Here is a 20,674-nt window from a genome sequence, read left to right as displayed (position 1 = left end):
ATAATTATAATCACAGTCATGACAGCTGCTGTCAACCGAATACCTCATGAGTATCTGTACTAAGCTATGCCCTTTTGTACAAGAACTTTTGTTTGTTTGTTTTGAGACAGGGTCTTGCTCTGTCACCCAAGCTGGAGTACAGTGGCATGATCATGGCTCACTGCAGCCTCAACCTCCCAGGCTCAAGTGATCTTCCTGCCTCGGGCCCTAGAGTAGCTGGCACCACAGGCACGTGCTACCACGCCCAGCTAATTAAAAAAAAATTTTTTTTTGGAAATGAGGTCTCACTATATTGCCCAGGCTGGTCTCAAACTCCTGGACTCAAGCGATCCTCCTGCCTCAGCCTCCCGAAGTGTTGGGCTTATAGGCATAAGCTACCACGCCCAGCCTCTGCTCCTCTTATAAAGACACCAGCACTAGGATTATGACCCCACCATTATGACCTCATTTAACTTTAATCACCTCATTTACATTAATTAAAGCCTCTAAAATACAGTCACGTTGTGGGTGAGGGCTTCAACATATAGATTTGAGGCAGACACAGTTCAGTCCTTAACAATGAGCTTTGAAGGGTCTGGGTACCCTTAAAATCCTGTATCGGATTTTGCAGATTAGAGTCTGCATACATGATGTGGCCTCTCAAAAGATTAAAAATTACTAAAAGTATTATAAATGACAAAGAGGAAAAGGGTGCATAGAAAAATAGAAATATTAATAGAACTTGTGTTAAGGGGTGGAAGAAAACGAAAATTCTACAATATTGTCTTAATGAGCATTAAAAAGTAGAGAACAAGAAGGGCAGTGGAAAAGGAGCATGTATCAGCTCCCTCTTTACATTTTGAGGGTTTGATGGTTTTCCTGAGGTTGCAGGGTGGAGAGTGGATCTGAGGCTAGGACCCCAGGGTCCTGAGCCCCAGCCCACCAGGCGTTCTGTCCATGTTCTCACCAGCTGTGCAGTCTATCCTTCCCCAGAGAAGCCAGGGCCATCTGAGTGAGGCTCCTGAGCTGCCACTTTGCTGACCTCAGAGACGCTTTTTCCCTTGATTTCCTTCCAGAAGTGGAGCAGATCGAGGCTATTGCCAAGTTTGACTACATGGGGCGGTCCCCGCGTGAGCTATCCTTCAAGAAGGGGGCCTCGCTGCTCCTGTACCACCGCGCCTCGGAGGACTGGTGGGAGGGCCGGCACAACGGCGTGGATGGACTCATCCCCCATCAGTACATAGTTGTACAGGACATGTGAGTGGAGTCGAGAATTCTGTGAAGAATGCCGAAATAGATTAGTGATGTCTGGGATGGGCACCGTAGGGGAGTGCTAGCTTGTATGCCAGCAATTTGCTCTCCTTGATATCATACGCTTGTTCTTCTCTAACAATGGGTAATATCTAACTTCCCTTTAAATGGTGATCCACTTAACGGATATCCAAATTCCTCCTTCTGAGCACACAGAAACGGTGTTGGGTGCCTCTGGCCTACATCCTGATGCAGCTGACAGCCCCCAGGGAGTGCCATCACCCACCAGGGCTCTCAGTATCCAGGGGATCCTGCCATGTGCCTCCACCTCCTAGGCCTCCCCTGCCTACGGTTCTACACTCCAGAGGTAGCTCTCTTAGGGGATGGGCAGAAACATGCCCTTGTTTCTGATTAATAGGGTACTATTTTTTAAAAAATAATTTCAGGGGTTAATGAAAAAGAGCCCTGCATCCCAAATGCCTAGTCCTACCACAAAAAGTCTGCACTTTCCATTCCTTTGAAAGCCATGGAAGCTTCCAGTGCACACCTTCCTTGGGAGCTCTGGTCAGGCTCGGCAGAACAGATTTACCATAGAGGCAGCCACCAAGCTGAGCCTCAAGGGAAGGGGATCAACAGCCCACATTGTGATGGGAGAGAGGGGGTCTCAGCCAGAGAAAAGGCCAGGGCCAAGCAGACTGCCAGAGGAATGCCATAGTGGAGGGCCCTTGGCAGCCTCCCGAAGTCCCCAGACCTCTGAGATCAGGGACAAGTCACCACAGCAGAGGGCCGTGGAAGGAGGCCGGCAGGGCACCCCAACAAGCTTGGGAGCCACCTCACAGTAGCCCAAGCCCTGGGTGGGGAGGTGAGGGGCAGAGGCAGCTTCTTCCTCCCTTGCTTAGCCAGAAGCCATTTCTCATGAAGTCACACAGAGACTCAGCACTCAGCCCTCGGTGCTCAGCCTGCGGACTCCATCCCCCCATTTCTCCAACACACCCTGCAGCATTTAGCTTGTCCTAGCCTGGAGCTGCCTGGGAATGAACAAGCTAGAAGAGAAAAAAGGAGGAGGTAGGTGTGGGACAGAAGAGGGTCCCAGCTGCGGAAACTGACCAGGAGTGTTGCAATGGGCATGCGTGGTGGGAAGGCACCCAGTGGGCAGTGGCCTAGCAAGCGCTGTGGGCACAAAGTAACCATAAGTTGTGTTAATTCAGCCCCTCAGACACATATCAGGGAGCTCTGTATATGCTGGGTTCTTTGGGGGAAGGTGCCTCCAATTCATGTCTGTCTTCTCCCCAGGGATGATGCCTTCTCCGACAGCCTGAGCCAGAAGGCTGACAGCGAGGCCAGCAGTGGGCCATTGCTGGATGACAAGGCCTCTTCCAAAAACGACCTCCAGTCCCCCACGGAGCACATCTCGGATTACGGCTTTGGGGGGGTGATGGGCCGGTAGGATATGCGGATTCATTTTTTCCCTGCTGGTGTCAATCCTGTTCATGTCTGATTTGGGAGAAGCACAAGGGCAGAGAGGAGAGAAGGAGCCTACTGCAGCCCCTTGTTCCCCACAAAATGAAATGGGCACACTGGGCGGGCTGGCTGGCATTGGCCCAAGAAGGCCAGGTATAGAACCATCCAGCCTGTGTTGCAGGGAGGAGGAGGAGGAAAGACATGTGTTGGGAACCCAGTGCTTTTTTATTTAAAATAATAATAATGTGTGAGAGAGATACAAATTGGCAAGTATTTTTCCTACCTGTGTCCAGTTCCTGCACCTCCTTCCAGCTTTCTGTTGTAGAACTGAGTTGTTATATTTAAAAATGTAAAGCTCACATATTCCCTGAAACGCGCTACATAAACAGAAAACTCACACCTACTCATGTGTTGAAGGAAATTGACACTCGACTCCACCCACTTATTTGGAGGGAGCAGTATTACCAATTTCTTCGCTCCCTATGTGTGGGCCAGGCTGTGTCACATAACCTTTCTACCAGGCAAGGAGCTGTGCATGTCCTTCTGAGAACAGGTATAATCCAAAGTATGTGGTTATTTTTTAAAAAATTAATGAGGAAATAAGAAGAAAAGAAAAGAAAAGCTGACAGTTTCTCACTGCCTTTTTAGTCACACTCTCAAAATGTCATATTCTATGTTTTTTCCAGTGGAGGGGTCATGTGGTCAGCCCACACATGTAGGTATTTGCAGATAGACCCCAAAAAAATCAGTCACAGTGGGAACACACAATTTATGAATTTATTTCAGCAAAAATCCTGATGCCTCTTTTCTGCAAATTCCATTCAGTTCAGCAGATAGCTCGGGGCACTGTGGTGGAATTGAGAAGGTCAGGGAAGTGGAAGGCTGGCGTAGGTAGACAAAGAAGTTATGGTCCCCTGACTTCTAGGAGGACCATATCTTCTGCCTCTCTTTTCCTCTCCCTTGTCCCCCGCCCTCACCTCCTTTGTTCTTGTTCTTTCTTTCTAAGTACTGCTTCCTTTCCAATACCTATGCTTTGGTCCTGCTGGGGCACCCACAAGCACTGCTTAGCTTGGCTGGTGGCACTAGGATCTGAATCACTGGTGGTCCCTAGTCATAATCCATTCCCAACACACGGTCCCTCTCCCTCTCCCCTCACCACTTCTAGCCCTTCAGACTCTTGGTGACCTCTGTAGGATGCAGCCAAATCTCCTGTGTATAGAACCTCTTATCTTCAAGGTGCTTTCAAACCCACTTGAAGCAAAGGTAAAGGGTGGGCAAAGGATCTTGCTTAAACCCGCTTCACAGATTAATAAAGTGGGCTTGAGAGAGGACACAGGAAAGCACGCGGCAGACACAGGGCAAGAACTCACCTTCCTGAAACACAACCTAATCCCCTTTTCACCACACCAGAGCCTCCCTGAAGTGGGAAAGGTACCAAATGCACAAAAGGGCTGTCCAGCCATGCAGTGTTTACTCTTGAATGACTAGTTTTCCAAGATCCAAAAAAGCCTCGCAGAAGGAGCCCTCTTCTGGGGAGATTGGGGGTTGGGTGGCAACGTTAGAGTGTCTTCAGTTCCCAGGGGACCCCAACTGTGCTTGCAGGGTGCTGGTAACTTTGGTACAGTCAAGCCTCAAAGCTTCAGACCAATTAGAAGCCCCTCAGAATCATGGAAAAGTCTGAACTGCTTCAGAGGGTATCATGAGCCCAACTAACCATCACCAAAGCGTTTCCAGGGTTGGAATCCTGTAGGCCTTGACTTAGCATGTAGACCAGATGCATTTTGCGGTTGGCGGCACAGCTGTCTGTGGCCTGGAAGCACCGTGCTCCAAATGCTTTCATGTTTACAGATTAGACCTCCCCCTGCTGCTGAGCTGTGTGCTGAGCCAGCTCTTTCATTATGGAATTGTAGGGTCTGGCTGAATGAGGCTTTACTGTACCCGCTCCTTAGACTAGCGTGTAGTGTGTGGCATGGGGTTGACTCACCCATTCTGAGACTTGCCAGGCTTGACCTCTGCCCCATGCCCCTCGCCCCCTGGCTCCTTTGCAGAGTGCGGTTACGATCTGATGGAGCAGCCATCCCCAGACGCCGAAGCGGGGGCGACACACACAGCCCGCCCCGGGGCCTGGGCCCCAGCATAGACACACCACCCCGGGCTGCTGCCTGCCCCAGCAGCCCCCACAAAATCCCCCTCACCCGGGGGAGGATCGAGAGCCCTGAGAAGCGGAGGATGGCGACGTTCGGGAGCGCTGGCAGCATCAACTACCCTGACAAGAAGGCGCTCTCCGAAGGGCACTCGATGAGGTCGACCTGCGGTTCCACCAGGCACAGCAGCCTAGGGGACCACAAGTCCCTGGAGGCCGAGGCCCTGGCAGAAGTAAGGGCCAGCGGGAAGGCAGGCTGGGCAGCCAAAAGCCCCAGAGGGCAGCGGGTGGGAATCCGTGGAGCGGGGAGCCACCTTGGCCTTTATGCCAGGCTCATGGCTAAGCCAGAGAACAGGAGAGTGAGTGGCCTCCCCGTCCCTTGCTGGGCTTCCCGTGGGAGTGGAGACTGGTTGGGAGCAGCCACTGCTAGGGTTCCGATAGAGGCTGAACACCCCCAGTGTCCAGGGCTGGAGAGGGCATTGGCCAGATTATGGGGCTGGGGTAATGGCAGGTCACTACACAAAATGATACGATTCAGTTTTTGACTCATTCATTCACTCATTCATTCATTTCTCTCTTCATTCATCAATTCATTCACTGGCAAATATTGATTGAGCATCTATCATGTGGCCGTCACCATGCTAGCCACCAACAGTAAAATGGAGATCTAAAATGGACTCAGGCCCTGCCCACATGGAGCTTACAGTTTAGAGAAGAAAGAGACATCAACAAACACACACACACAGTTGTGAAATAGTTGTTTGGTTGGGTGCCTTTAAGGAATGGTCCAAAGTATTTTGAGAGCCTAAAATGTGAGGATTGCACCTAGGCAGGGAGAGACTTCTCTGGAGAGGACTTGACCTGAGACCCAAAGGGTGGGCAGAGCTAAATAGCCGAAGCTGCAAGAGAAGAATGTTCCAGGTTCTTCTCAAGTGCTTAGAGGGTTGGCTTTTGTTTGTTTGTTTTGTATTTGGATGAAAAATCTATATGATTTTTACATTTGCCAAATGAATAGAACTGTGATTTGTTTAACAGTTTGCATAGCCGGTTTCATGGGTTTTTTGACAGTTCTATCATATTTTGAGAAGTTTCCATTTTTTTTGTCTCTGGAATTTGGTGTGGGGGCCCATTATGTACCCTCTCCCTAGTGTTCTCTCCCACATAAGGTAACAGAGACAATCAGAACCTTCTGGTCTGTGAGAATTTTACTGTGGAGAGTAGCCTTTGAATCGCTGTTCAAAAGGAGAAGGAAGAAGGGCAGGGAGTCATGAGCTGTGTTCTAGAGGAGGCCAGGCAGGGTTCCCAGGGAATACACAACACAGAAACAGCTCACCTAGCAATGAGTACTCCTGTTCACACCAGCAGGCTCTAGTTTGGCCCCATGCCCATTCCCAGGGGTCCCTGAAGATCAGTGCCTTCCGAGGAGGCATGCCAGCTGCTGGTCCCCCCCATACTTGAGGAAACATCACCCTAGCACCCACCATCATCTGGAAACTCTACCAGTCTAGAAAGTTCTACCAGTTATGATAGAGGATGGCCTGAGGCCTGCCCCAGGGCCCTTTACATTTATAAAGAATCAAATGCAGTCTAGAAAACTGTTTCTAAAAGTAGCTCTCACAGCAGATTAGTCCCACAGGATGCTAGGGAGTGGGTAGGGAATACATGTTCTGTGGTCAGCAAGGTTTGGGGAATGCTGCTCTGACAAAGTTGAGTGGCTTCTCTGTAAGACTTATAAAACCTTTAAAGCAGGCACCCCCAGCCCCCGGGCCATGGATGGATCTGTGGCCTGTTAGGAACCAGGCTGCACAGTAGGAGGTGAGCAGCGGGAGCCAGCATTATTGCGTGAGCTCTGCCTCCTGTCAGATCAGCGGGGGCATTAGATCTTCACAGGCCGTGAACCCTGTTGTGAACTGCGCATGTGAGGGATCTAGGTAGTGCTCTCCTGAGGAGAATCTAATGCCTGATCTGAAGTGGAGCAGTTTCATCCGAAAGCATCCTCCTGACCCCCCATCTGTGGAAAAATTGTCTTCCACGTAAACGGTCCCTGGTGCCAAAAAGGTTGGGGACTGCTGCTTTAAAAGATGTGCACTGTGAATCTCCAAGAAAGAAAACAGGGCATGCCCCATATCCCAGACTTCTGTGACCTTTATTCATGGAGCGTTTTGCACGACCTGCCCCTGGAATGCACTTGGGGCCTGCTGCATGTGTTCTCAGTTTGCAGATGGATCTGCACCCTGTCTAGTTTGACAGCTGCCATCCAAGACCCCCTTTCACTAACAGAGGTCAAATAGGGAATTGTAGTAAATGATATGTAAGTAACCCACTGCCACTGGAGAGTTTCCAGCCTCAGCATTGGCTCTGATGAGCCCTTGACTTTGCAGGCTGCAAAGGGGAGTGGCAGCTGAAGAACCCCAGGTAGTAGGCCGAGTGACCCAAATTTCTTTGGTCTCAAAATGTCCCTTAGGATTTAGATGTGAACCCACTTAAAGAGGCTGTTTGGGGAACTTGCAACATGACCATCCAAAGTGGGAAGATCGAATTGGGGAGGAGATGAAAAGCAATCACGGTCCCCACTCTGTCTCCCAGGGCCTCTCTGCCGCTCAGCTCTGGAGACTCACAGCGCCACCTCTCGGACTAATGCAAGGCTGCAGCCTAAACAACTCAGCTGATCTTTCTCTGAACTTCCTGTCTTTCTGCTTACTCTGCTGGGGTAGAGTGGTGGGGCGGGTGGGGATGGTGGTAGAGGGGCAGTAATTACATTTTATGTGTTAAAGTTTCACCATGCAGCTCATGCTGGACTAGAGCAAATAGAGAGTAGTGAGGTCAATAGGGGGCTTCCTTCAAGCGGAGTGGTTGATGATAGGGCGGCTCGGCTCCAGGAAAGCCGGCTGTGTCACTGCAGGGCTGGCACATGGCAGAGATGGGGAGAGGTCTGCCTTCCCTCCCTTCCTGCAGAAAATTGCCCCCACAGCGCCTCCTTTTGGATAAGGCACAAAACACCCTTTCTTAAAGTTGCCGGTGTTCTGGGGCAACGGATGAAACATCCTGGAGAAGCGTACAAGCTAATATTAGCCATTAGCCAGACATCCATAGTCCCCTAACAAAAAGGACAGGCTGTGACAATGCGGGGAGCAAGAGCTCTGGGCCCTGACCCCAGCCAGATTGAAGCCTGCCATGTGGCCTAGGGCAGGCAGGAAGCCACCTGCAGACAGGGGAGGGAGAGAATGTAAAAGACCAGGGTGCAGAAAGGGGCCGGCCCCAGCATCTCCAGGCTCCAACCCCACCATCTGTTTCACCAGACTCATACTTTTTATTTATTTTTTTTAGGATTTGCAATAAAGCAAGCCTGTCTTAATAGTCATCATTCCTCCATGAGGTTATGCACGGCACCTACCAGTGGTGGCTTAGGCAGTATCCCTCATGGTGCCCTCGATGGCCAAGCCAGCTGGGCTGTGGCTCAGCTGAGCCTGAGCAGGTCCTCTCATGTCTGTCGGATGCGGAGGCATCCCAGTCAACAGTCATGGGAACCCATGGGGCTCTTGGGCTAGAAGGATTTTGAAAACCACCACCTGGCAGTTTACAAAGCTTCATCACATCCATTATCTCACCCCATATTCACAGTAAATGTCTGGGATTGTAATAGATGAACAAAATATGGTGCAGAGTGATTGAGATTTGCTCAGGGTCACACGGCCAGCAACTGGCCACAGATTCTTTTTACTCAAAAGTCCGGGGCCCTGTGGCCTGTCCCAGGGCTCTTGGGTTAAATGCTGCCTTCCAGCTACAGCACCACCTTGGGCATGAGGGGACGGGAGCTGAGGGAAGCTGCCCTGTGGCATGGTGAGCCCGGGCTGCCCTGGGTGGCAGGGGGCTCGCTCTCTCTGAGTCCTTCAGAGTGCTCAATCAGAGTGCTCTCCTCCTGATGAGCTCTCAGATATTATAACATCCTCGGGAATTATGTAGGCAGAAGAAGATTTTTCTGGCCTGTTAAAATTTCCACTTTTTAAAAAAATTTTCTGATTATAATACAGAGAAGAGAGTAGCAGTCCCTCTATTCTGGGATGTGCGCTGTGAACATTCTGATACATAATCTCCAAGAAATTTTTCTGTGAGCAAGGATTTTTAAAAAAATACTGAACTGACTGGGTTCAGACTTGGGCTATGCTGCTAATTAGCTGTGTGACCTTGGGCAAGTTACTTAACCAGTCTGAGCTTCAGTTTCCTCCTGTGTGACATGAGCATAAAGGTAGTTCCTACCTTAGAAGTGTGAGGATTAAATGAATTATTAGGGGGCAGGGTTTGGATTGGTGCTCAGTGTTAGCTATTATTGCTATTGCTATTGTCATTCGTATTTTTGAGTGCTTACTCTGTGCCAGGGGTCAGGCCAGGCTCTTCACAGGGACTGTATCATTTAATGCACTCATCAACTCCCTGAGGTCCATATTATAATTATCTGCCATTTACAAATGAGGATTCTGGGGGCTCAGAGGGATGAGGGAACTTGCATAAGGTCACATAGCAAGGAAGTGGCAGAGCCAGGATTTGAATCCGTGTCTGTCTGACTCCAGAGCCTGCCCTCTTTATCAGTAGTCTGACCTGCCCTTATGAAATCTATTTCCTGTGCAAGGCAGCATGCAGGGGATATCCACATTGGTTCTCCCATGTGGTTATAAGACATCCTGAGGACTTAATCTCCATCCCTGCCGCGAGGCTTCTGGGGAACCTGCCTACGAAGGGAAGCTGCTTAGCAGACAGGAAGGACCTGACTCCAGGTCTCCAGACTGTGCTGACCCCAGCTCCCTCTGTCCCCAGGACATCGAGAAGACCATGAGCACGGCTCTGCACGAGTTGCGGGAACTCGAGAGGCAGAACACGGTCAAGCAGGCGCCAGATGTGGTGCTGGACACCCTGGAGCCCCTGAAGAACCCGCCAGGCCCCGTCAGCTCGGAGCCCGCCAGTCCCCTTCACACCATCGTCATCCGCGACCCCGATGCCGCCATGCGCCGCAGCAGCAGCTCCTCCACCGAGATGATGACCACCTTCAAGCCAGCCCTGTCCGCCCGCCTGGCTGGCGCCCAGCTCCGCCCGCCCCCCATGCGGCCCGTGCGGCCGGTGGTCCAGCACCGGTCCAGCAGCAGCAGCAGCTCGGGCGTGGGCAGCCCGGCCGTGACGCCCACCGAGAAGATGTTCCCCAACAGCTCAGCGGACAAGTCGGGCACCATGTGACCTGCAGGATGGGCCGCGCCGCCGTGGCCCGCTGTGGCTCACCACGGCCCAGGGTGGCCTTGGTGGCTTCCACGTGCTTCCCAGTGACCCTGGCCTTGGAGGGCAGAGGTCCGTCTGGGAGGGTGTGTCTGTGCAGAGCTGAGGCCCGGGCGCTGGCTGCAGCTCACGTCCAGCCATGGGAATCCCACGGACCTCTCGCGTGTCAACAGACGACCAGAGGAGTGCTGGAGCTCCAGCAGCCCCAACCACAGCATTCCCTAACATGGAGGCAAAATACCACATGGCTTCTCCCGCATATCGTCACTGGAAACTTCCTCTCTCGACATTCTCTCTACATACGTATATGTGTGTGTATATCGATGTGTGCATATATACACATGTATACGTATGTACGTGTCTGTAGGTGTGTGTATATATATATATATTTATGCATCTATATACATATACTAGATCTGGACACACGCATACTAAGTGTATATAGTATCTCCTTTTTCTTTTTATGAAACTTAGATTTACCTCAGATCCATGCCACCAAACATCTCCCACCGAGTTATTTGGTGGGATTTGCAGGGACTTTTCTGGGAGAACTTAAAGGCCCATAGTAACTGCGAATGAAGCAATATACCACTAACCTGCAGAAAAACACAAACAAAAACAGACTCCCACTGTCTCCAGAAGTCGTGGCCTTCCAGAACAGTCTGCCCCTCAAGGAAGGGTGGGGCAGGCAGTACCCCCAAGCAGGCTGCTCCCAGAGGTGGGGAACCCTTCATAGGAAATCCCCACCCCCGTCCACCCCAGAGACCCTGCCCTTCCACCCGGAGGCCAAAGGCCAACTGTACTCCCAAAGGCATGGGAGAAGGTTGGCGAGAAGACCCCTGACTACCACATCCTTGTGTTTGTGTGTAGAGACGGGGGATAGTGAGAACCTAAGCCCCATCGTAGCACAGTATTACATGTGGTTGGGAAAAATAAAAATACAGTGGTGTGGAATACTCCAAAACCTAGAAATGCTGTAGGAATAAATCTGTGGTAACTATAGAGGTTTAACTTATATCATTTTCAAACTATTTAATTTTTTCTTTTCCTGGTTCTACTAATTATACTGTGTCAGATTTGGAACTAAACAGGCAAGGAGGCTTTGAGTCACATCGTTTTCATTTTAAATCAGGCTGTGATGCACTGTGGCTGGTGCCGTCTTGCATGAAACGCATGAGCCGTGAGCGCCCAGTTCAGACTGGGGCCAGGGAGGGGCAGTCCTTGGCACTTTCTGTCCTAGAGGACACTGTCAGTTGAGTTAATACAAGTGACATAGCTTCCCTTCCCTCCCCCTTCACCCACTCCCTCCAGAACATTTAGTGTAGATGAAAATGTGGTGATAGAAATGGGTGCATGATCTTCACGTGTGACAGCCAGGCCTTTGCCTCTTGGCCAAGTAAAGCCCTTCCGGGTCGCTCTCCTTCGATTCCATTTTACCTCCTCTTCTGATCACTTCCAGAGATGAGCTGTTTCTGGATAATGGCACACGGGCAAATCTGTGTGCCCTGTGGGCCGCTGTTACTTACCCTCTCCTGCGAGACCCAGGGGCTTTTCCCTACTGTTCCCACGCTTCCTCTCTCTCGAGGCCACTGAAGTTTGGAGTCAAAAGGCCCAGAGTCTGAGTCCCAGCCCTGAGCACTTAGGAGCCTTCTGACTTAGGGTTTGTCACTCCACCTCATTGAGCCTGACTGTTCTGCTCCATAAAATAGGGTAATAAAGGTCAAACATCAGTGAGCAAGCTGTGTACACTGGAAAACACTGAATCAATACAATGCGTTTGTGATTATCATTAGTAAGGTAAGTCTTAGATCAGAGCCCTCCAGCCCTTCTTTTTGAAACCTCCCAATGGCATTTCAGAAGTGAGCAGTGGAATTTTCCTGCCATCCTAATAAGAGCCCTGGATTCCATCATTAACATTTCAGCCCATTGGATGAAGTGGTGCCCTCTCCTCTGGTCCCCCGCGAAAAGGTAAATACACCCAAAGGGAGGGACCTAGTTAAGTCACTGGCACCTAGATAAGTTAGGAGGGTAAAGCCACTACCTCGTCTGAAGGACTGGACTTGACACCCCACAGTGGAAGGGAGCATCAGGAGAGGAACAAAAAAAGGGATCTCAGGGAGAGGCCAGTGTCAAACTTGACCTCCCTTGTTTGGCCTAGAATGAACCCTTCTCTTTAGCTCCTGGATATGAAAGGCCATCTGCTTGGAGCACAGAAAGATATTGCCATTTTACAGCTTAAGAGAGTAAGGCCTTGGGCTGTGCTGTGACCTGCCCAAGATTTGACACTGGCTAGGAGCAGAGGCTGCGTCAGGCTCTTAAAGTCATGTGTTTGCATGCTGGATGCTATACTGTCCAGCCAGGACACAAGACTTCTGATTTCTACCCTCAAGATACTCCCAGATCCTAAATCCAGTAGCCTCCCAGGCAAAATATAGCAATCTGCCACAACTGCCAGATGAAAAGCAACAATCAGAGTAGAAAAATCTGTTGCCTGATATACATAACACCAATCAGACCGTGTGGATTTTTCTCTGAATTGACTGATTTTGTTTTTTTCTTACTGAAAATGGACCTGCCTTTCACTGAATTTTCTGAGGGCAGAGTCTTAGCTGTTTTCTTTAAGCACCTTTTTTTTTTTTTTCCATTGGGAAATGGCTGATGAGTTCACATTTAGGGATGTACACACACAGATGGCAGACGTCTCCCCACTCATCCAGCCCCAGATCTGAGCCTTGACGCAGGCCAAGTGGAAAAATACTTTCCCGCCCCCCTCCCCTGTTCCCACTTCCTCATCTGGCACTATGCATGTCTCACTCACCCTCCACAGCACTCAGTCCCATCGACGTTCACTGAACATTGGCTTTCTCTTTCTGACTCCTGCCTGTTTTAGTCCACTATATATTGCTGTATTTGCTTAAATGCTGGAAAGTAACTGTTAAAATGTGAAATTGTAATTTTTAAAAAGGCTACAATTAAATTTTAGCCAATGCCACTCACCAAATCTTTGCACCTAGTAGATAGATCAATGTAAAAACAAATACCTAACTGTACAGTGAGTGTGGGGGAAATGTAGTAACCTAGTTAGTAGTCTTCAATATAACCAATTGTACAAGGGGAAGTGGTGTTTACCTACTTGTTCATCACCATTATTGAAAGCCGTACTGATCAGTTAGTTGACAACGGGCATTTTTTTTTCTTTGCTTCATGGAATGATTTCTTTTCTTAACCTTCGACTTATCCTGAGGTCAAGCCTTTTGTCTTTATGTGTAACCGACGTTCAGTCTATTCTAGGAATGAACCAGCAAGTTGTTCATTTAAAACTGACCAAAGACAATTAATTCCTGGTCTAGTTTCCTGGGCCTTGTGGCTCAGCTGCCACTAAAGAGCTTTTTGGATAAAATTGAGAACAAGCTGTGCTTCCTACCCCACTCTCCCCGTCCCCTTTTATTCCCTTTTCCTCTTAAAGAGCTGCTCTGAGCTGTGGGATTCTATGAAAAATTCTTGCCTTTCCTTGTTTCAGTGCTAACGATTTCTCACCTCGAAGCGCCTTTTGAACCCCGGACAGAGTGCACAATCGGAGGGAATTGCGAGCTTGGGAATTAGACTTTGGAGTCTTTTCTCTGAAGTCACCAGGCCAGGGGTCAGGAGAGAGATGGATTCCCAAGGGATGAAAGGTTTCTATTCAATGAAGAAATCGGAGTGGGAAGAGACACAGGGAAATTGAGCCATATTTTGGCTATCGGCTGGAACCAGCAGTTCAGAGATCTGCCTTATAAACATTTAAAACCGGTTTGTGGTACACAAAGAGGAACCAGTGTGGGAAGGGGCCTTTATGTGGGGCTTTCTTCTCTGTTGGAGTCCCTTGGAGTGCCTTGTTGGGTATATTTCTCTGTCATTCAGGAGGCACGAATGTGGAGGACTTCTCGTGACCTGGTCGTGATGTGGCATTCAGTGCATGTCCACAGCTAATGGAAAAACACGAGGACTCGGGTAATGGTTCTTCCTCTCAGTCTTTCTATTCCTAACTTTTCACACATCCAGATGGTTCCACACTAGTGCAAATGCCTCACTCTCCTGAGAAACCCAGAAAGAAGAGTGGCTGGCTCACAACCATGGGGTTAGCCCCTGCTGGGCTGGGAGTCGGGGTGGCGGCCAGGAGGAAAGGCAGAAAGGGGTGAGCCGAGGTGTTGCCTAGCTGATTTTCTGCTGTGCAGAGCTAATGCTGACATTTCATGTCAACTTCCCCGGTTCTCTGGGGTCTCCTCTCCTCTGAGCAGCCACATAGAACATTCCCCACATATCCAAAGCTGCCCAGGGGAGCCGAGAGAAGGGACTTTGCTGTCAGGTCCAAGCCCTCCTGACCTCCCTGAGATTGATCTGCCAGTGTCCTGCTGTCCCTCTGGGACTGGCCACATGGCCATCGCTGCCCCTTGTTGACACCTCCTTTCTGTGTGAGTTGTCCCCGGCCAATAACAAAGCTGTTCCTTGAACCAGAACAACCAGAGTGCACTTTTCCTTCCTTAGACGGAAGTAGATCCTGGCTAGGGTTTCTGCCCAGGCCCTTGTTCCCGGCAGTGTGACTGTTTACATGGTTTGGCAATAGGTTTGATTCTGATTGCTTCAGAGTGGCTGGTCTATTTTGTTTCCTTTGGTTTCCTTCCTCCCCAAATTGTGACAGGAAAAACAGACCAAAACCACCCTAGGAAATTGCTGGTTGCCTGTCCCCACGTGATGATAAATGTTGCCCTCTTCTGGATATCGTTTCTCTACCTTACGACCAAACGCCCGTCCTATAGAGTGTCTGATTGGATCCTCTGTCGCGTATTCTGATGGTGCCTGCTGGTTTGACGTGGAGCTATCCTGTGAAATAAAACAGCTTAACTTTTCTCAAACATGCTCCAGTGGTTTTTGAAAGGGCGAGGTGGCACATCAGGGGTGGAGAGGTCCTGGGGGGAGTCCCCATCCTCCAGTCCACACTGTCTGCCTGCTTCCCCCAGGAAACACCTTTGAAATGTCCATTAGCTCAGATCCAACAAGATGAAGGTAAGGTTACAAGGAGGACCACTTCCATTGTAGAGCTAACTGAAGAAGGTAACTAACTGTAGGATGACTGCTGGGGAAAGAGGGTTTGGAAATGTCAAAGCAAAGGCAAGTTGGGAGTAGTAGCTGTCATCTGCAGAAAGTGTCTTCAAAAGTTTAAGATAAATTATCAGAGGCCACTGGGTACTGATACATCAAGGCACATGCAACATTTTGATGTTCATTGTCTACAAACGTCATATAACCTCTTGGACTTTTGTTTTTACCTGTGTGTGTTTGTGAACTGTTTATTGACCACTTATTTCTGTCCCAGCCACTAGATTAAACCCTTTACCTGTATTTTCTCATTTAATTCTCAATACACCATTGAAGGTAAGTATCATTATTATACTCTGTCCTGCAGATGAGGAAACTGAGGCTCTGAGAGGCTAAACAGCTTGCCCAAGGTTAGGCTAGGAAGTAGAGAAGCCAGAATTTGAATTCAGTCCGCCTAACTCCAAACCCATGCTCTTTATAAGTTTGTCATACTGCCTCTGATTTGAGCATTGTACTCATTACAGCAGGATTAGGGGCAGGATTTCATGATGAAGGTAGCTTGCTGCTTGCTGCAGTCAAGAAATACTCCAGGGCCTTTATATCCCACCAAGACTTTGTATCAGGGAAGAATACAAGTTGCCCAAAGGAGATTGTGGGGCTGCCCATGAAAAATAATAAATGGTGATGATTTTCAGTCTCTCTTTCTGATTAAACCTCTGCTGGATCTTCATGGAAGGGCCTCCTTGCAGCCTCAGTGACTCATTCCCACCAAAAATGCTCATCACTCAATGATGGTCTCTTGCGAATTCCAGACTCCTCTGCTATGAAAATGTCTTAGTCTATTTTCTGTTGCTGTAACAGAATAGAACAGACTGGGTAATTCATAAAGAAAAACAGCTTATTTGGCTCATGGTTCTGGAGGCTGGAAAGTCCAAGAACATGACACTAGCATCTGGCTAGGGCCATCTCATGGTGGAAGGCAGAAGGGCAAAAGAGACAGTGTGAGGGGCAGACTCTTTTATAACCTTCTGTCATGATAACAATCCCATGCCCATGGCAATGACATTAATTGATTCATGAGGGTGGAGCCCTCATGAACCAGTCACCTCTTATTAGGTGCCCTCTCCCAAGATTATTGCATTGGGTATTAAGTTTCCAACACATAAATTTGGGGGACACATTCAAACTACTAACCTTCTAAGAGGCTAAACTTTGTATGTGTTCCATAATCTGTTTACTTGCTCATAGCAACAGTACACATTTGAAAGCTTCAAATCAGGAGCCTCTCATTCATTCAACAAGCGTGTATGAAGCACCTTAGCACCTTTTTATGCAACTTGCCTCAAGTTAGCTGCTGGGGACACAGAATGATGAGCCCCAGTTCCTTTCCTCAAGTTGCATACAGTCTAATTGCACAAAATGATCACTCTAGAATTCTAAGATCGACTTTTACTCAATGATAAATAGAACAGTGTCTCTAACCCACAGAGGCACAAAGGGCAGATTTTAGCAACTTGACTATTTTGTCAGCCACAAAGCATAGACCATTGCTGGATTGTCCATTGCACATCTGTTTAGGAATTTTTTGTTTGCAAACGACAAACTATTCAACCCAAACAGCCCTAAGCAAAAGAGAATTTATTGGCTCACATGGGTGGAAACTCCAGTCTAGAAATGGCTTCAAACCCAGGATGATGTGACGATGTGAGTGTTGTCTCCGGGGTGCAGTTCTCTTCTTTCAGGTTGGCTCTGCTCAGCTCTCTGGGTTGACTTTATGCTCAGACAGCTTGTCTGATATTTTGTGGTTGCCCAGTGGCTGCTGAAGCTTCCACTACCTGCACCTCCTCAGCTTCAGTAGTCTTGGGTCTGATTCTCACTGACCAGAATTAAGCCACAGGTTTATCCCAAAAGCAGACCAAGGGGATGGAATAGAAAAATGGCCTTAAGCAACCTGTATTTTGAAGGGTGGTGTCAACCCCACCAAGACTTTGCATCAGGGAAGAATACAAGTTGCCCAAAGGAGATTTTGGGGCTGCCCATGAAAAATAATAAATGGTGATGGTTTTCAGTCTCTCAGTTTTAGGGTAGTTAGCTATGCAGCAATAGCTAACTGATACACTAGAAAAATGCTCACGCAAATATGTAGAATTTTGTCCTTGTCCATGGACTGTACATTGACTTCACAATAATAAAGTTAACATCCATCAAGTGCATTCTGTATGTTGACACATTACCAAGCACTTCACATGCCTTGCCTCATTGAATTCTTACAAACAACTTGTGGGAGTAGATTCTGCTAGCACCCCCAGTTAATAAATGAGAAGACTGATCCTCAGGGAGTTCAAAATGCAGGGACTTAAAGCACTTTCAGGCCAGCAAGAATTCCATGGCCCCCAAATGCCTAGCTGCAGGGAGGTCTGCTTGCCTTGACAACCACCTTAGGAGTAAGGTCTATCTCAGCTTCTCTCAGGAACCTATGATAGCTCTGTTACTCATCCATTTCTTTTAAGCCCTAACATTGAGAATACTTACTATCGATTCCTTGCATTAGTGCCACATGTGTCTTTACTGTTGTTGAGAACATTTTCTATTTTCCCCTTTTTCTACTCCAACTCTCCCAAGAACATATAAATTATATTAGATGGGATGTTCATTTTACAGATGGGGAAACTGAGGAACAGAGAAGATCCAGGGCTTGTCCCAAGTCCCAGGATCACATTGAGGGAGAGAAAGGGTCTCTGGCTTTCCTGGACCCTGGCCCATGCTCCCTAGACCCCAGCCACTCTCCCTCCACCCACCCCAAGCATCTCCCACTCCCATGCTTCACACTGGCTGGGTGATTTGGACGAGCTTCAGTCATGGGTGTAAGTGCAAAGGCTCTGGATTCAGACAGATCTGAGTGTGGATCCCAGCACCGGCTTGTATCAGCTGGTTGACTTTAGCAAGTGACAAAACCTCCTGGAGCCTCCATTTCCTCAGGAACACAGGGCTAAGAAGGCTCTGCTCCACAGGGTTGTTTGCGGTCTGGAGTGGATGATCTACGTAACATCCCTGGACCATCCAGGCAATCAGCAAAGGCTGCTGTGTTCATCCATGGTTGCTTCTGCTCCTTAAAGAGTTTCTGCTTCATCTCCATGCTCTGCAGACAGAAAGAGCAGGTTGTTGGGCATCTGATGAGTGACTGAACCGAAGGAGCTCTAAGGAAAAAGCTTCAGTGGGATTCTGCCATTCATTGGCTACCAGATTTGGGGAATGTCTCTTCCCCTGTCTGGGCCTCAGTATCCTCATCTGTAAAACAAGGGGGTTGGGGAAGCTGACCTTGATTATTTCCTCCAGCTCTGAGGGCTCACTCAGTGCCTTGGCTGAAGGCTGCAGAAGCACACATAGGGGAGGGCCACCAGCCCCACCACATCCCCTCTGCTTTCTAAAGGGAACTCCCTTAACGACCATGTTTGATATTGTGCTACCCTACCCCCTGACTCCATTGGATTGAGCCAAGGATGGCAGCTGATGCAACAGCAGTTGATGGTAGATTGGTTAGTCACCATGGCCCTTGGCAAAGCTGGACCTGCAGATGACCTTTCTTGGGAAGCTTGACCCAGAAGTAACAAAATGACAGGCCCTGTAAGCAGGAGACCAGAAGATGAGAGCCCACAACAACGAGGAGGTCGGAGGCAGAGAGGTGGCCCTTCTGCACCATAGGGAGGCTGACGTCACTAGGGATGAGACTCTGAGAGCACAGTGACAAAACCAATGGGCAAAGCCAATGGCAGAGATCACAGGCTTCGAGAGCAAAGCCATCCAGTCCCTAGAGAGAGCCAGAACCCCCGGTTGAGTACCTGCCCCAGTGCCTATTCCTCACTGGGAGACCTTACATTCAAGCCCTCCTTACCTGGTGTAACTTGAGTGCGATTTCTGCTTCTTGCAATTAAAACAAAAAAGGGGCTCACGCCTGTAATCCCAGCACTTTGGGAGGCTGAGGCAGGGGGATTGTTTGAGGTCAGGAGCTCAAGACCAGCCTGGCCAACATGGAGAAACCCCGTCTCTACAAAAAATAGAAAACTTAGCTAGGTGTGGTGGTGCATGCCTGTAGTCCCAGCTACTTAGGAGACTGAGGCAGGAGAATCACTTGAACCAAGTGGGTGGAGGTTGCAGTGAGCTGAGATTGTGCCACTGCACTCCAGCCTGGGCAACAGGGCGAGACTCTGTCTCAAAAAAAAAAGGAAAAAGTAGACAGAATGATAATAGCCAACCTGTTAGAGCACTTACTGTGTTCTAAGCCCCTTCACATATAAAGGCCAACTCATTAGTCCTCTCAACCACCCTTTAAAGCAGATACTAATGTTACTCCAGCTTAACCTACGAGGAAATAGTACAGACAGGCTAAGTAACTTGCCATGGGACACACTACTTAGGCATCACGGAGTTGGGGTTCAGAACTAGGCAGTCTCACTCTGGAGCTGGGTCTCCATTCTCTCTCTTAGGCCTGAGGATGAGGCAGGACACTGGGTGTGATCTGAAACAGACAGCTTCACCAAACTGGGAGTGTTTGACCCAAGATACCTCACCCAGAGGGAGTTTGCGCCCCCTTGGCATGGGGGGTGCTGTGGTGGGGTGGGTGGTCATCGGCTGCTCACACAGCCCCCAAAGAAGGAGCAAGGATGGATACAGGGTTTCACCAGGCCATCCTGCCCCAGGCTGCAGCCAAGGGTCAGATCCTGCCTCTAACACGAGGGAGCATTTTATGTTGGGAAATTCCCTAGAGAAAGAGCTGTGCGGGGGTTGGGGAAAGGCCTCCTAGGAACAGCCTGCCAGACAATTGCCTCCACACCTAAGCAGGGAAGTCTAGAAAGGACCCCACTGCTGCCTCAGTGCAAGCAGCGAGGCATGGCCTTGGAGTAGCCTGAAGAGGAGCTTTTGCAGTGGAGGGTTGTGGAGAAGGATGGGGGTGAGGCGGGAGTAAGAGACCCCCCCGCCCAGAACCCCCCAACCCCCAACACCTTACATCCTCCTCAACACGCCCCCACTGCTGCCCCTGGAAGCAGCAGAAGTGGCAGTTTTCTTTTGGGCAGTGAGTGGAGGTTTGTGTTTAAATAAAGGGATGCCAAGAAGAGGCAGAGAGAGGACAAGAACTTCCCAGGCCTTTTCAGCCACCCCAGAAAGCAGGTCAGCCTCACACTGGAGGCCCGGGGCCGGCTCCATACTGGACTCCAGGCTGGGATTTGTGGGGTGGCTAAAAAGGCCTGGGACCTTCCTCTGATACCCAGAGAACCTAGTATCAGGTCTCCCAACCACTCCTCACTGCCTCAGAGACACCTCCCCTGACCTCCTTGCTTAAAGCAGTCACCATGAGGTTAATATGTTTTATTTTCTTCATTGCCCTTATCATCATTGGAATTGATTTGTTTCTTTATGTGTAGTCTGTCTCCCTCAATCCAGAATGTAAGCTCCAGAAAATCTGGGGTTTTGTCTATCTTGTCCATACTGTCTCGAGATGGTAGT

At 49.3% G+C, this 20,674-nt stretch overlaps 1 protein-coding gene across 15 annotated transcripts in view, besides 2 other annotated features; it reads left to right on the top strand.

Annotated features, from left to right (window-relative positions):
* Positions 1-14,988, top strand: part of SRGAP3 (SLIT-ROBO Rho GTPase activating protein 3) — a 382,437-nt gene extending 367,449 nt beyond the window's left edge. For 11 of the 15 annotated variants that reach the window (XM_024453843.2, XM_047449333.1, XM_024453842.2 and 8 more), the window contains 4 exons: positions 1,056-1,236; positions 2,524-2,673; positions 4,740-5,067; positions 9,647-14,988. In XM_024453843.2, coding sequence (XP_024309611.1) covers positions 1,056-1,236; positions 2,524-2,673; positions 4,740-5,067; positions 9,647-10,060 — 1,073 coding nt within the window. In that variant the 3' untranslated portion in view covers positions 10,061-14,988. The remainder of the gene's footprint in view (positions 1-1,055; positions 1,237-2,523; positions 2,674-4,739; positions 5,068-9,646) is intronic. The other 4 variants (XM_047449335.1, XM_047449336.1, XM_047449334.1 and 1 more) reach the window with 1 other exon arrangement.
* Positions 7,534-8,034: an enhancer, noted in NCBI's record as "H3K4me1 hESC enhancer chr3:9029229-9029729 (GRCh37/hg19 assembly coordinates)". NCBI's record gives its function as "activates a minimal SCP1, AML or CMV promoter by ChIP-STARR-seq in naive H9 embryonic stem cells {active_cell/tissue: H9 hESC(naive)}" and the evidence as "EXISTENCE:reporter gene assay evidence [ECO:0000049][PMID:30033119]".
* Positions 8,035-8,535: an enhancer, noted in NCBI's record as "H3K4me1 hESC enhancer chr3:9028728-9029228 (GRCh37/hg19 assembly coordinates)". NCBI's record gives its function as "activates a minimal SCP1, AML or CMV promoter by ChIP-STARR-seq in naive H9 embryonic stem cells {active_cell/tissue: H9 hESC(naive)}" and the evidence as "EXISTENCE:reporter gene assay evidence [ECO:0000049][PMID:30033119]".
* Positions 14,989-20,674: the final 5,686 nt, after the last annotated feature.

Source organism: Homo sapiens, chromosome 3 (genome assembly GCF_000001405.40).
Source record: "Homo sapiens chromosome 3, GRCh38.p14 Primary Assembly".
Lineage (NCBI taxonomy): Eukaryota > Metazoa > Chordata > Mammalia > Primates > Hominidae > Homo > Homo sapiens.
The sequence above is the reverse complement of the archived record's forward strand: the minus strand, read 5'-3'. Positions and strand labels throughout refer to the sequence as shown.